General features: G+C 49.5%; 1 protein-coding gene across 4 annotated transcripts in view, besides 2 other annotated features; it reads left to right on the top strand.

The window, feature by feature from the left end:
• ZCCHC14 (zinc finger CCHC-type containing 14) overlaps positions 1–12,517 on the top strand; it is an 86,777-nt gene extending 74,260 nt beyond the window's left edge. For 2 of the 4 annotated variants that reach the window (XM_005255858.4, XM_017023082.3), the window contains exons 8-12: positions 1,023–1,305; positions 3,398–3,489; positions 4,224–4,351; positions 5,570–5,710; positions 5,789–7,350. In XM_005255858.4, coding sequence (XP_005255915.3) covers positions 1,023–1,305; positions 3,398–3,489; positions 4,224–4,351; positions 5,570–5,710; positions 5,789–7,344 — 2,200 coding nt within the window. In that variant the 3' untranslated portion in view covers positions 7,345–7,350. Of the gene's footprint in view, positions 1–1,022; positions 1,306–3,397; positions 3,490–4,223; positions 4,352–5,569; positions 5,711–5,788; positions 7,351–8,429 lie in introns of those variants that run through there. The other 2 variants (XR_243401.4, NM_015144.3) reach the window with 2 other exon arrangements.
• Positions 10,384–11,583: an enhancer, noted in NCBI's record as "CDK7 strongly-dependent group 2 enhancer chr16:87440788-87441987 (GRCh37/hg19 assembly coordinates)". NCBI's record gives its function as "activates an origin of replication core promoter dependent on BRD2, BRD4, P300/CBP, MED14 and CDK7 cofactors, with strong dependence on CDK7, by STARR-seq in HCT116 cells {active_cell/tissue: HCT116}" and the evidence as "EXISTENCE:reporter gene assay evidence [ECO:0000049][PMID:35650434]".
• Positions 10,624–11,063: an enhancer, noted in NCBI's record as "active region_11323". NCBI's record gives its function as "activates an Ori minimal core promoter by ATAC-STARR-seq in GM12878 lymphoblastoid cells {active_cell/tissue: GM12878}" and the evidence as "EXISTENCE:reporter gene assay evidence [ECO:0000049][PMID:35858748]".

Genomic DNA, 12,634 nt, shown 5'->3' with positions numbered 1-12,634 from the left:
AGAATTAAGTCATGCTCAAGTTGAGTCTTGGATGATATTGAGAAGAATTGAGTAGAGATGATTGAATTTACGATTTCCAAAAAAAGAGTTCTCTAAGCCACTGGAATCAGAATTCCCAGGGACTCCTCCCCAGTGCAAGGTCCTGGGCCCCATCATAGACGTAGAAAGTCAGAATTTCCGAGAATCTGGCTGTGAGAAACCTGCTCCCAGAAGCATAGGGTCGTGCTCCTGAGGAGCGTCCTCTGTCCGCACGGGCCCTGGGTAGCTGCAGTCGTATGCCGGCAACACAGAGGCTCCCATCTTTGCTGACAGTGAGGTGGGCTGTCACAGATCAGTGCACACGCACCCCCATAGGGAGTCTCGTGGAGATGTTGTCTGGGCGCGAGGTTTCGAGGCGTAGACTGGCATCCTCCTGGTGTCGGGGTAGGGTAAGCGCCCAGTCAGCAGGTGTGACTTTGCAGTTAAGGAGCAAGGCCAGAGTGGAGTGCCGGTCACACCTTCCAGCCTTCTGCGTTTTACTTTTCTAGAAAAATTGTATTTGAACATTAAAGATTTAATAGTCTATTTTGATGTATGATTTATCAGTGTCATTCTGTGACTTAGAAGTAACAGAAATACCTATCGGAGTAGCATGTTTTTAAAAAATACAAGTAACAGAAACTTGGCAGCTAAAGCAGAAGTCTGGTGGGGACAGAGACGTACACATACATAATACACATACGTACACACAAGTAGACGCATACTCCGAAGCACGGGCAGAGGCATGTGTGTGTATATGCACAGCCGCCTGTATGCACACGTGTGCACAGACATGCATTACAGAAATCTTAGCTGCAGAAAGGTGGTTGGGGAGGGAGGGCAGTCATAGCACAGCAGTGTTGGCAGTTCAGGGTGGCCTGTGACAACAGGGCCGGCCAAGAGGCAGAGGCTGGCACAGAAAGGCCTGGAAGTGAGGTCTGTGGTGGAGTCTGTGGTTGTGGAAGCCACAGTCTCTCTGTGTCCCTCCTGCCCCTGTCCCACAGGCCTGTGTGTGGAGTGGCTGGTATCCCGTCCTCGCAGAGCGGAGCCCAGCACCACGGGCAGCACCCGGCCGGCTCCGCCGCCCCCTTGCCTCACTGCTCCCATGCGGGCAGCGCGGGCTCAGCCCTGGCCTACCGGACCCAGATGGACACATCACCTGCCATCCTCATGCCTTCCAGTCTGCAGACCCCTCAGACCCAGGAGCAGAATGGGATTCTAGACTGGCTTAGGAAACTGCGTTTGCACAAGTATTACCCCGTCTTTAAGCAGCTCTCCATGGAGAAGGTATGTCGGTTTTCTGGCTGGCCGTACAGAATTGCTAGATTGTTTACTCAAGACCTCCCTGGGGGCATTGAGTTTCCAAACCAACACAAGGTGGATGAAGTACGGAGGCCGAGGCGCAGCGCCTGTTCTTAAGGGAGACGGTGGGCTTTGCGGAGGCCGCCTGCAGCTGCAGCCAGCCACAAACAGGACATGTTGTAAACAAACAGCTTGTCTAGGGGCTTCAAGACCTTCACAAACTAGATGCTCTGCGTGACGGGAGGGACAGTCCGTCCCCAGAGCCCTGCTGTGGACAGAAATCCTGAGCTCTGGCACGGTGCCCCTTTTAGACATTTCTCGGCGTAGCTGGCGCAGACACTGCGGCGGGCCAGATCTAGAGGAATGGGTGCATTTTACATCTTCCAAGCAGTCGTACCTAGAGAATTCTTATGAGGAACATTTTTTCACTGTTAAAAAAATTCAGAAATTTCTTAAGTCTTGATGTCAGTGATAAAACTAGATTAAACCCATACAAGGTATTTGAGCTCTGGACTCCCTCTGCTGGGCAAACCGGCTTGGTGGCTTTTATCTATGTAAAAATTTCATTTCTCGAAAAATCTACAATTGAACCTAGAAATCAAGCTTTTACTACATAGTTAAATCCAAATTGTAAGTATATTTGTAATACCCTTTGTTTAGGATTTGTGAATGTTTTTTTCTTTTTTTGAGATGGAGAGTCTTGCACTGCCACCTGGGCTGGAGTGCAATGGTATGGTCTCGGCTCCCTGCAACCTCTGCCTCCCGGGTTCAAGCGATTCTCCTGCCTCAGCCTCCTGAATAGCTGGGATTACAGGTGCCCACCAGCATACCTGGCTAATATTTTGTATTTTTAGTAGAATCAGGGTTTCCCTATGTTGGCCAGGCTAGTCTCGAACTCCTGACTCATGATCTGCCCACCTCGGTCTCCCAAAGTGCTGGGATTACAGGCATGAGCCACCGCGCCTGGCCAAGGATTTGTGAATCTTAAAAAGCAGAGATTTTACTAACCTTGTTCATAATTAGTTTTAAATGTTTTATTCTTACGTTTGCATTGAGATGGCCTAAATCACAAATCATGTTAGGAAATAACATGAAAATTAGAGGCTGGTGTGTTTGCGTAGCACCAGCCTACACAATGGAGTAGCCACACAACCATTCAGCGTGGATGGCATCTGCTTTTCTGCATCACTTGCTACCTGACAAAGTTGCTGTCATCCCTGGCCAGGTGCGGTGGCTCACGCCTGTAATCCCAGCACTTTGGGAGGCCGAGGCAGGTGGATCATCTGAGGTCAGGAGTTGAAGACCAGCCTGGCCAAGATGGTGAAACCCCGTCTCTACTAAAAATACAAAAATTAGCTGGGCATGGTGGTGGGTGCCTGTAATCCCAGCTACTCGGGAGGCTGAGGCAGAGAATTACTTGAACCCGGGAGGTGGAGGTTGCAGTGAGCCGAGATCGCACCACTGCACTCCAGCCTAGGTGACAGAGTGAAACTCCGTCTCAAAAAACAAAAAAACAAACAAACAAAAACAAAATAAGAGCGAGATTTTTGTCTCAAAAAAAGGAAGAAAAAGACGACCATCCCGCAGAGGGTGATGAGTTCTGAAGGGATGGCACTGTGATGGGGCCGTCCTGGGGAGGGTGGGGGTGGCACGCTATCATAACTTGCATCTCCACGGTGATTCAAACTGTGACTTATGCAAGACGTTTTCTTTAGTCACCTGCCCCAAAGCATGTACCTGCTGGTATTTACTCACAGAGCAGAGGGCAAGTGGGCACCTTTGGCAGAGCCGCCAGCCTGTGAGGTGGTGCACCCATCCACACAGCCTGCACAGAAGGTGCCCTGGAGGAGCCGGGGACACTCTTGCTCAGAACTGCGTCTCGGAGTTGAACCGTTGACACCAAGTCATTTAGCAAGTAAAGGGTCTAGGATTTCCCAGCTTGTAATTGCTGAGTTCAGCTGGATCTGTTTGCATATCCCAGAGGCAGAATAAATGTACTGAATTCAACTCCAAGTTCTTTGTTCTCAGAGTCCTACTTATGTCTCCGTAACTTTGTAATTTGTTTTTTCTGTGAAAGTTTTTGAGCCTTACTGAAGAAGATCTGAATAAATTTGAGTCTCTTACCATGGGGGCAAAGAAGAAGCTCAAGACCCAGCTGGAGCTGGAAAAGTGAGTGTGAAGTGGGTTTTGAAACCTGTGTTTATTTCCATTTCTCGTGTGCCGAATGGAGTGCTGAGGCTTCCAGTGCTAAATACTAGTGATTGGATTAGTTCCTGTTGCTTATCCAGTCCTTAGCCATGCTTTTATTTATTTTTATTTATTTATTTTTTGAGACGGATTATTTTTATTTATTTATTTTTTGAGACGGAGTCTCGCTCTGTCGTGCCCAGGCTGGAGTGCAGTGGTGCAATCTCGGCTCACTGCAACCTCTGCCTCTCAGGTTCAAGCGATTCTCCTGCCTCAGTCTCCCAAGTACCTGGGATTACAGGCACCCGCCACCACGCCTGGCTAATTTTTTGTATTTTTAGAAGAGACCGGGTTTTACCATATTGGCCAAGCTGATCTCAAACTCTGGACCTCAGGCGATCTGCCCGCCTGGGCCTCCCAAAGTGCTGGGATTACAGGCCTGAGCCACCGCGCCTGGCCTAGTCATGCTTTTAAAGTTCTACAAATGTGTCTTAGGTTTGACAGGAAAGGACCTTTATAGTAAATTTGACCAATCAGAATGAGTTCCTTGCCTTAATGCTCTGGGGGGAATTTCCCTGTGGTGTGGAGTAGACCCATCTCGAAGTCGCCCTGTATCAAAGCCGCCCTGTGGTGTGGAGTAGACCCGTCTTGAAGCCGCATGTGAGGCAGCACCAGTAGGCAGTGCTCACTTGTTCCTGTGCTTGATTATTTCACAGGGAGAAGTCAGAGAGACGGTGCCTGAACCCCTCGGCCCCGCCGCTGGTCACCAGCAGTGGTGTGGCTCGAGTGCCCCCCACCAGCCACGTCGGGCCCGTGCAGTCGGGGCGGGGCAGCCATGCAGCAGGTGAACAAGGGTGTGTCGGGCAGATGGGTTACTCATACACAGAGAGGGCCCGTGTGTCGGGCAGATGGGTTACTCATACACAGAGAGGGCCCGTGTGTCGGGCAGATGGGTTACTCGTACACAGAGAGGGCCCGTGTGCCGGGCAGGTGGGTTACTCGTACACAGAGAGGGCCGGTGTGCCGGGCAGGTGGGTTACTCGTACACAGAGAGGGCCCGTGTGCCGGGCAGGTGGGTTACTCGTACACAGAGAGGGCCCGTGTGCCGGGCAGGTGGGTTACTCGTACACAGAGAGGGCCGGTGTGCCGGGCAGGTCGGTTACGCAGACACAGAGAGGGCCTTGTGTTCTGTTTGATCATTAGATTTCAAATCACACCTATTTGATTTTTACATTTTTAAATCTTTATACTCATTTTCCATTAACTATTATAGTCTCTGCCATAAGAAAATCGAAGGGACAGTTGGCTTAGGAGCTAGAGGGCAGTCACCTCCCTGAAGTTGCTTGGGCAAAATGATCAGGTCCAGAAACTGCCACAGTGAGAGCGAGCGCGTGGGGGTGAGCAGAAATGAGATGGGAGTAGCCTGCGCCCACCCCCCACCCCAGGACTGGTGCCCAGAGGCCACGTTTTAAGTCAGTGCCTTTAATGTTGACCCATCAGTGACATGGTTCTCCATGGACCTTCCTGCTTTGGGGGACCCTCAGTCTCAGCGATTTGGTTTTCATCCTCCCCTCTCAGAAAGGGCGGGACACCTGGCGCGCTTGCTCCGTTGTCTCACAAGAGGAGCCGGGTTTTCTTCACAATAGAAATCGGAGGAGCAGTAGCTCAGGAGGGAAAAAAAAAAACCTGGCAGGATGGATTTTAAGTGGTGATTTGACTGAAAAGATCTCCGTGACTCGGCCGGCCTCGTGAGATGGGGTGCGGTGTAGTGTTGTGATAGTTCCTGGGGGTGCGCTGGGGGTGCCCTTCACAGGGCATTGTTCTGGGGTTGATGGCGGGGGCCGGCAGGGCCCTGGCTGAGCGGGTGTTGAGCATCGCTGCCATTTGAATCTCTGCTGCATCCGTCACCGTGCGGCCTGGGCCGGCGTGTTCGTTTTCTGACTCTCAGAGCCCTGCGTTTCCCTGGAAGGAGCACCTGCCGACAGTGCGATGCAGGGGCACGGGGCGGGCTGAGCCTGCAGGGGCGCTAGTTGATGGCTGCTCCTCTGTCCCTTTTCTGCAGAGCTGCGGGTGGAAGTGGAGCAGCCCCATCACCAGCTGCCCCGGGAAGGCAGTTCCTCGGAGTACTCCAGCTCCTCCTCCAGCCCCATGGGGGTACAGGCCCGGGAAGAGAGCTCCGACAGCGCTGAGGAGAATGACAGACGTAAGGGCACGTGCGCGGCGCTGGCTCGACCTGGCCCAGCTGTGGAATGGCACTGACCACTCTTGTTTCCCTCTCTAGGTGTGGAGATTCACTTGGAGAGCTCTGACAAGGAGAAGCCGGTGATGCTGCTGAATCACTTCACTTCCAGTTCCGCCAGACCCACGGCCCAGGTTCTCCCTGTGCAGAATGAGGCCAGCTCCAATCCATCAGGCCACCACCCCCTGCCCCCGCAGATGCTGAGCGCAGCCTCACACATCACACCCATCCGCATGCTGAATTCCGTGCACAAGCCGGAAAGAGGGAGCGCGGACATGAAGCTCCTCTCGTCTTCTGTGCACTCACTTTTGTCTCTAGAAGAAAGGAATAAAGGATCTGGACCAAGAAGCAGCATGAAAGTGGACAAGAGCTTTGGCAGCGCCATGATGGACGTGCTGCCCGCGTCCGCACCCCACCAGCCTGTGCAGGTCCTCTCTGGGCTTTCGGAGAGCAGCTCCATGTCACCCACAGTCTCCTTTGGTCCCCGGACCAAAGTCGTGCATGCATCCACGCTGGACAGGGTGCTGAAGACAGCACAGCAACCGGCCCTGGTCGTGGAGACCAGCACGGCCGCCACGGGGACGCCCAGCACAGTCCTCCACGCCGCCCGTCCGCCCATCAAACTGCTGCTGTCGTCATCTGTTCCTGCTGATTCTGCCATTTCTGGGCAAACTTCCTGTCCTAATAATGTGCAAATAAGTGTGCCCCCTGCAATAATAAACCCCCGGACTGCTCTGTACACAGCCAACACCAAAGTTGCCTTTTCTGCAATGAGCAGTATGCCAGTGGGCCCCCTGCAGGGTGGCTTCTGTGCAAACAGCAACACTGCCTCTCCCAGCAGCCACCCCTCCACGTCCTTTGCCAACATGGCCACGTTGCCCAGCTGCCCAGCCCCCAGCTCCAGCCCGGCGCTGTCCTCCGTCCCTGAAAGCAGTTTCTATAGCAGCAGTGGCGGTGGCGGCTCCACAGGAAACATTCCTGCCTCGAATCCGAACCACCACCACCACCACCACCATCAGCAGCCCCCGGCACCCCCGCAGCCCGCCCCACCCCCGCCAGGCTGCATTGTGTGCACGTCCTGTGGCTGCAGCGGCAGCTGCGGCTCGAGTGGCCTGACTGTCAGCTACGCCAACTACTTCCAGCACCCGTTCTCCGGTCCGTCCGTGTTCACCTTCCCCTTCTTGCCCTTCAGTCCCATGTGCAGCAGCGGCTACGTCAGCGCCCAGCAGTACGGCGGCGGCTCCACCTTCCCCGTCGTGCACGCCCCTTACAGCAGCAGCGGGACCCCAGACCCTGTCCTGAGTGGGCAGTCCACGTTTGCCGTGCCACCCATGCAGAACTTCATGGCAGGGACAGCAGGGGTGTACCAGACCCAAGGACTGGTGGGCAGTAGCAATGGTTCCAGTCACAAAAAGAGCGGGAACCTATCTTGTTACAACTGCGGGGCCACTGGTCACCGCGCCCAGGACTGCAAACAGCCGTCCATGGACTTCAACCGGCCAGGTAAGCGCGCGCCATGGCCGCGCCCACCAGGCTCCCGCAGGACCAGTGCACACAAATGCTTGGTTTTTATGAAGAGTAAACTTCTTTCTTTGTAAAGCAAATAATTTTTCGAATGCTCTTTGAAAGCGCGTGGAAATCTTCATGATAGGCCGTGAGGTCCCCAGAAGGACTGCTGTTGGGTCTAAAACGGCCATGATGATTTCAGACAGCCTCTGGTTCTAGAAGGTGCTTAGCCAGTGTGGACAGGGCCTCCCTGGACTGCCGTGTCCTGATTCGAGCCCAGAGAGGCACGTGTGAGGGATTCAGTGCTGCCCCCTGGCTTAACACTGGGGCCCTCAGGCTGTGGCGCATCGGCATTCCGGACCCTCTGGGGTGGGGCTCGCTGTCCCCTCTGCCCCTCCCTGCCGGCGCGGCTGTGGGTGTGGGGGGCTGTCACCCCTCAGCCATGCTGCATCTTCCGTTCCCTCCTGTTTTATCTCCGCTATTTTTTTGTCTCCTTTAGTCAAATCCCAGTGGATGTCTGATGTAGTTGTAATAGGGTTCTTCTTGCTGTCTGTTTTGGAAACGGGGGACTGGGAAGGTGGGTCCCAACTCTGACAACTCATGGTGCCACCTTGCCAAAGTCACTTGATCTCTGCAGACTTCCAGTTGCTTCTAAGGGTTGCACTAGATCTGTGATTCTCAGACCTGCCTGTAACATCACGTTCACCTGGAGAGTTTTTAGAAACACGCCTGCTGACTCAGCAGGCCTGCAGGCAAGGTGGGTTGACAGGCGCTCTGCCATGCGGGCCCGGGTGGGCCTGTGCCTCCCTTCATAAAGCTGGCTGCATCTCCAGAGGCACGGGGCACTCACCAGCGCTCACCTGCCCTCACCCAGTGAAAGGACGCATGTTAGAGCAGCCCGCCTGACGTGTGCAGAGCCTGACTCCCAGAGGAAGCTCCCAAAGAAAAAGATGGTGAACTTTTCCTGAGTCATTTCACCCCGGTCAGATTTGATAAACTTGTAAAATTAGGTCCCATTTTGCAGGGGCAGGAAGGGAGTAGAAACGGTCAGGATGGGTGGCCTAGATTTCCAGCACCAGAATCTTGCCCAGTGGCTCTGGACATGACTGGACAGATTGGTGGTTGGTGGTGATTCTACAGTCATTCAAATTTGACCTCTTTTTTCCCCTCTCTCTAGGTACTTTTAGGTTGAAATACGCCCCTCCAGCAGAAAGTCTGGACTCCACAGATTGATATTTTTCTCTGGCAACAGAACGTTATTAAGCCATGGAGACATAAGGAAAATTAAATACAAAACTGAGAAGTCTAGTTGCTGTTGAGCTTAATCTTTTTAATCCAAAGGTGCTTTACTTTTCCTAGACTGGATAGAAAATCTAGCGTAGAAGTGCATCAAACTCGATTTATTGCCAAAACCCTAGATTGGAGCTTGGTGTCAGAACTCGCCTAGTGGGCATCTCTGTGGCTGGTGAGATCGGCCACCTCCACTTTTGGTTGCAGTGCAGAGACGCCATGTCTCCCGAAGAGCATTGCCATCACTGGCCCTCCTAGGCTCACACGTCAATTCCAGGGCAGCTACACGTGGTCTGAATCGAGAACCGAGCTTGGAGTTCTCCAAGTGGAGTTCCACCCGCCGGACTCCTGACACCCCTGGGCTAGGGAAAATGTCGACTTTGTTTTGTTCTGTTCCTAAAGTGATTAGCACTAATCTCTGGGATTTTTAAGGATTGCACTACAGAAGAATGTACCCTGATGTAAATCTCTGCGGTTCTGGGAGCCAAACTCCTCTGAGAACAGTCAGTGCAAGAGACTCCAATAATCCATATTGAAAGAGTCAGCACCAGCAGAGGCTACTCGACTTAGGACGCAACAGAGGTTTTAGTATTTCCTTCCCTCCTCCAAGCACTTGTAGCAGTTTCAGGTTTTTAATTTTTTTCTGCAAATAAATCTAAACTACGTTATTAAATAGAAATAGTTTACTCGCAACAACTTAATTTCTAAGGGTCCAAGTCCCAGAGAATCCATAGTCGTCAAAGCTTTGAGAGTATCTTTCTTCCCAGCCAGTCAGTGGCTTTGAGCCCTATCTTCCACTACAAATGACCTCTCGAGGGGGGACGGCGACAGCGCGGCTCTGTGAGTGGCTGTGAGGATGCTGCACGTCCTCAGCAGAGTTTGCAAGTTGCTTTATCTCCCACGGGCTCCCCAAGAACCTCCAACCCCGAGGCTTATCGCTAGCGGATTCACACCTGAGACAGACATTTCAACAATGATACAGTCCTGTCATTTATCAGCAAAAGATTGGGAATTTTCTCCTGTCAACTTCTTTTGTATTAGGCTGTGTATTGATAGTTAATTCCGTTAAAAATTACTTGGAAAACAGTGGGAAGTGGTAGGACTCTGGAAGAGGCCACACACCCGAGAGCTGCGAGATCTGTGCAAGTCTGGTTTTGGTTAGGTAGTAATAAAAGTCCTCACTGTAGATCTCTAAATTTCAACCCACGGAAATGAAAGCCTTTTGTCTGAAATTTACGGACTTAAATCTTCAAGGTTAAAGGGAATTTTCTGCTCAAATAATACTCTTATCGAAAATGCTAAAGTCTTCAATGTTAAAATACTGATTGGTAAAATCTTGCAGTTGGGATTTTGCAGTTGGATATTTATTTTAAAAAAAATTATAATATTCAGACTATTCTTAAAATGGGACAATCAGCCTCATGAAAAATTGATGTAAATCAGAAGAATACCCTAGAATGAGGCCTTGTGATGTGAGCGTTCAATTTGAAGAGCAGTTCCTAACTTCATAGAAACTAAAGCAGAAAGTTGTTACATTTTTTTTATGACAGGCTTTTAGTAGAATTTTTTAGTTTTATTTTAGTTGAATTTTATTTCTATGCAATGCAGAATTAACAGACCTCTTCTCCTCATGGTACACAGTATTACAGTGTTGAAGTAATGGTGATGCTTATTACAACAGCTATTTAGGGGAATGTTACGTTGATCTCTTAAATTGTAAACACTACAAAATGTCAAAATAATGAGAACTGACACAACTTTGCCTTAAAGAGTACTAGACTGGACCTTCTCATATTACGTTTAAGGAAGACTTAGAGTGTTCATTGATGTTTACGATTTTAATATTTCTGAAGGCCATTACAGTGGCCTGGATATGTGCTGAAAGCCAAACTTTTAAATTTTTTGGTTTTTTTAAGCAAAGAAATATTTTAAATAAATCCTATTTCAACACTGAAATTGTTGAAAACCGTCTCATAACAAAAGGAAAAAACATTGGAATTTTTGTTTTAGTGGTCAGTATAGGGGAATGAAAGCGTCTGTTGTTACCCACGTAACTATTTTGATAAGTATTAGAGGTTAACCTTAAATCCAGCAAAACATTAAAACAGAAACTTTTCAACTTGGAGCCTGCCATTCAGCGTTGAGGTAGATGAGTTCCGACACTGTCACGGCTGTGTTCCCAGCAGCGAAGGCCTCTGCGGAGCTGCCAGTCGTCTTGAACGTGCATGGGCGGCGTGTGACATCTCCAGGGAGGCCGTCCGAAGTCGAGAATCGTCAGCTGTAAGTAGGAGCTACACAGCGCAGAGAAAATGGAACCACCCATCCGTGAGGCCTCTTTCCGGAGGGAGCCGCACACTTGGACTTGAGAGTTTGCCAGCAGCGAGCTCGGATGCATCTCTCCAAAAGCCACCAAGGTCGGCGCGTCTGAAGAGCGTTTTGCGGTCATCAGACTTCCTCATCTGAAAACACAGAACATACTGACCCTTTCAAGTACTTAGTCATTTTCCTGAAAGTGTGGTCTGTTTCAGAATGCTGTGGCAACCAGGTAGGTGTGGCACTGGCCATGTGCCACGTCTTTGCCCTTTGTAGTCTGTCAGATATTAAAGTTTCTAACCCTGTTTTTTTAATCTCCAAGAATGGGGAAAGTGGAATGTAGAGATGGAAGCAGAACGTGATGTTTGGATACAACAGCTATTTAATCCTTTTTTATTTTTTAAGCAAAACACTCAGTTTTCTACCTTATTTTCTAATGTTGATTTCATGGTAATACTGACAGTTGGAAGTGTTTAACATAAAAACTCATTGCTAAAGAGCACTGAGGAAATGGGAGCTAGCGCACTTGTAATAAAAATAAAGACAAAATATTTTCTTGAATGCATATATGTGATTGGGTATTTTAAAAACCAGTATCATCTGTCATCTCCAAAAGATTACAGGAGTCAGCTTGTTAATACAGTAGTGTTAGTAGGTTCTGTATTTTTAATTCAGTACTTAGAATTCTAGGTCCTTTATTGCCCAAAGTCAGCACAGTTAGTTTATACCACAGACTCTGTCTTGGGGCACAGTAGTGGGGCGGGGTAGTGACTTTGCCTAAACATCACCCAGCTGGAACAGAGGCTGAGCGGGGCTTTAGGCACTTGCCAGATGGGAACTGGGTTGCACCCTCCTTGCTCCCTGTCATTTTCTTGTCACTCTTCCTGCTTCCCAGTGTTTTATTTTATGCCTTGCTCGTTGTACATCATGATGACTGATGGTCTTCAAGGTTGTGAGGAAAGCCGTCTCCCTGCTTGACTCGACTGCTGTCCCAGAGGAGAGTCCTGTGCGACCTGAGCGGGGGTGGCTGCCATTTCCAGCATGCAGGTGACTTCCAAAGAATGAGTCAGGTGGCACTGAAAGCCATGGGTTCTGAAGAGGCGAATTTGTTGAAAAGTCCCAAGGGTCTGAATGAAAGCATCTTTAATCAACACTCAACACTCGCAATATTCTAGAAAACCATATACTGTGCTGGTTGAGGCCAAAGGTTAACATTGCTCCACTGTTCACCAAGGAAGGGGGCAGTGGCCATCCGCCGCGGCCTCACGTGCGTTGTAACAAGCCCTCATCACATGTGTGAGTCTTACGTGCACAAAAAGAGAAGGCTTTGGTACTGAAACTGGACACCTTGTGTACTCGATACCTTCACAGCTTCTATTGGACATATTTTCTTTTTAGGAATGAAGGAAAATTCTCCCATTTTTGAGCCATTCTTTTGTCAATTCTACAAAATTGCATGTAACTTTATAAATATTTTTAAAAGATATAGTTTTGTAAATATTTAATATTCCGCTAATTTGATTTTGAATTGTAAATGTCAAGTATTCTGTTTTTGGGGTTTTTATGTTTTATTATACTTTGTTAAAAAGGACAAATTGTACATTTTTAGAATGTTTTTATGAGTAAATTTAATGTACTGAAAATAAAAATTTTAAAAAAGGCTGTTTTATTTCACTAGGTCTTTGTCTCAGAATATGAAGCACACACCTTTTCACATCAGTCTGAATCTCCAAACTAGGGGTTCCATCCTTTCTAGCCTCTCACATTTACAGCAGGGAT

Source organism: Homo sapiens, chromosome 16, assembly GCF_000001405.40.
Source record: "Homo sapiens chromosome 16, GRCh38.p14 Primary Assembly".
Lineage (NCBI taxonomy): Eukaryota > Metazoa > Chordata > Mammalia > Primates > Hominidae > Homo > Homo sapiens.
This window is presented reverse-complemented; position numbering and strand designations above follow the sequence as displayed.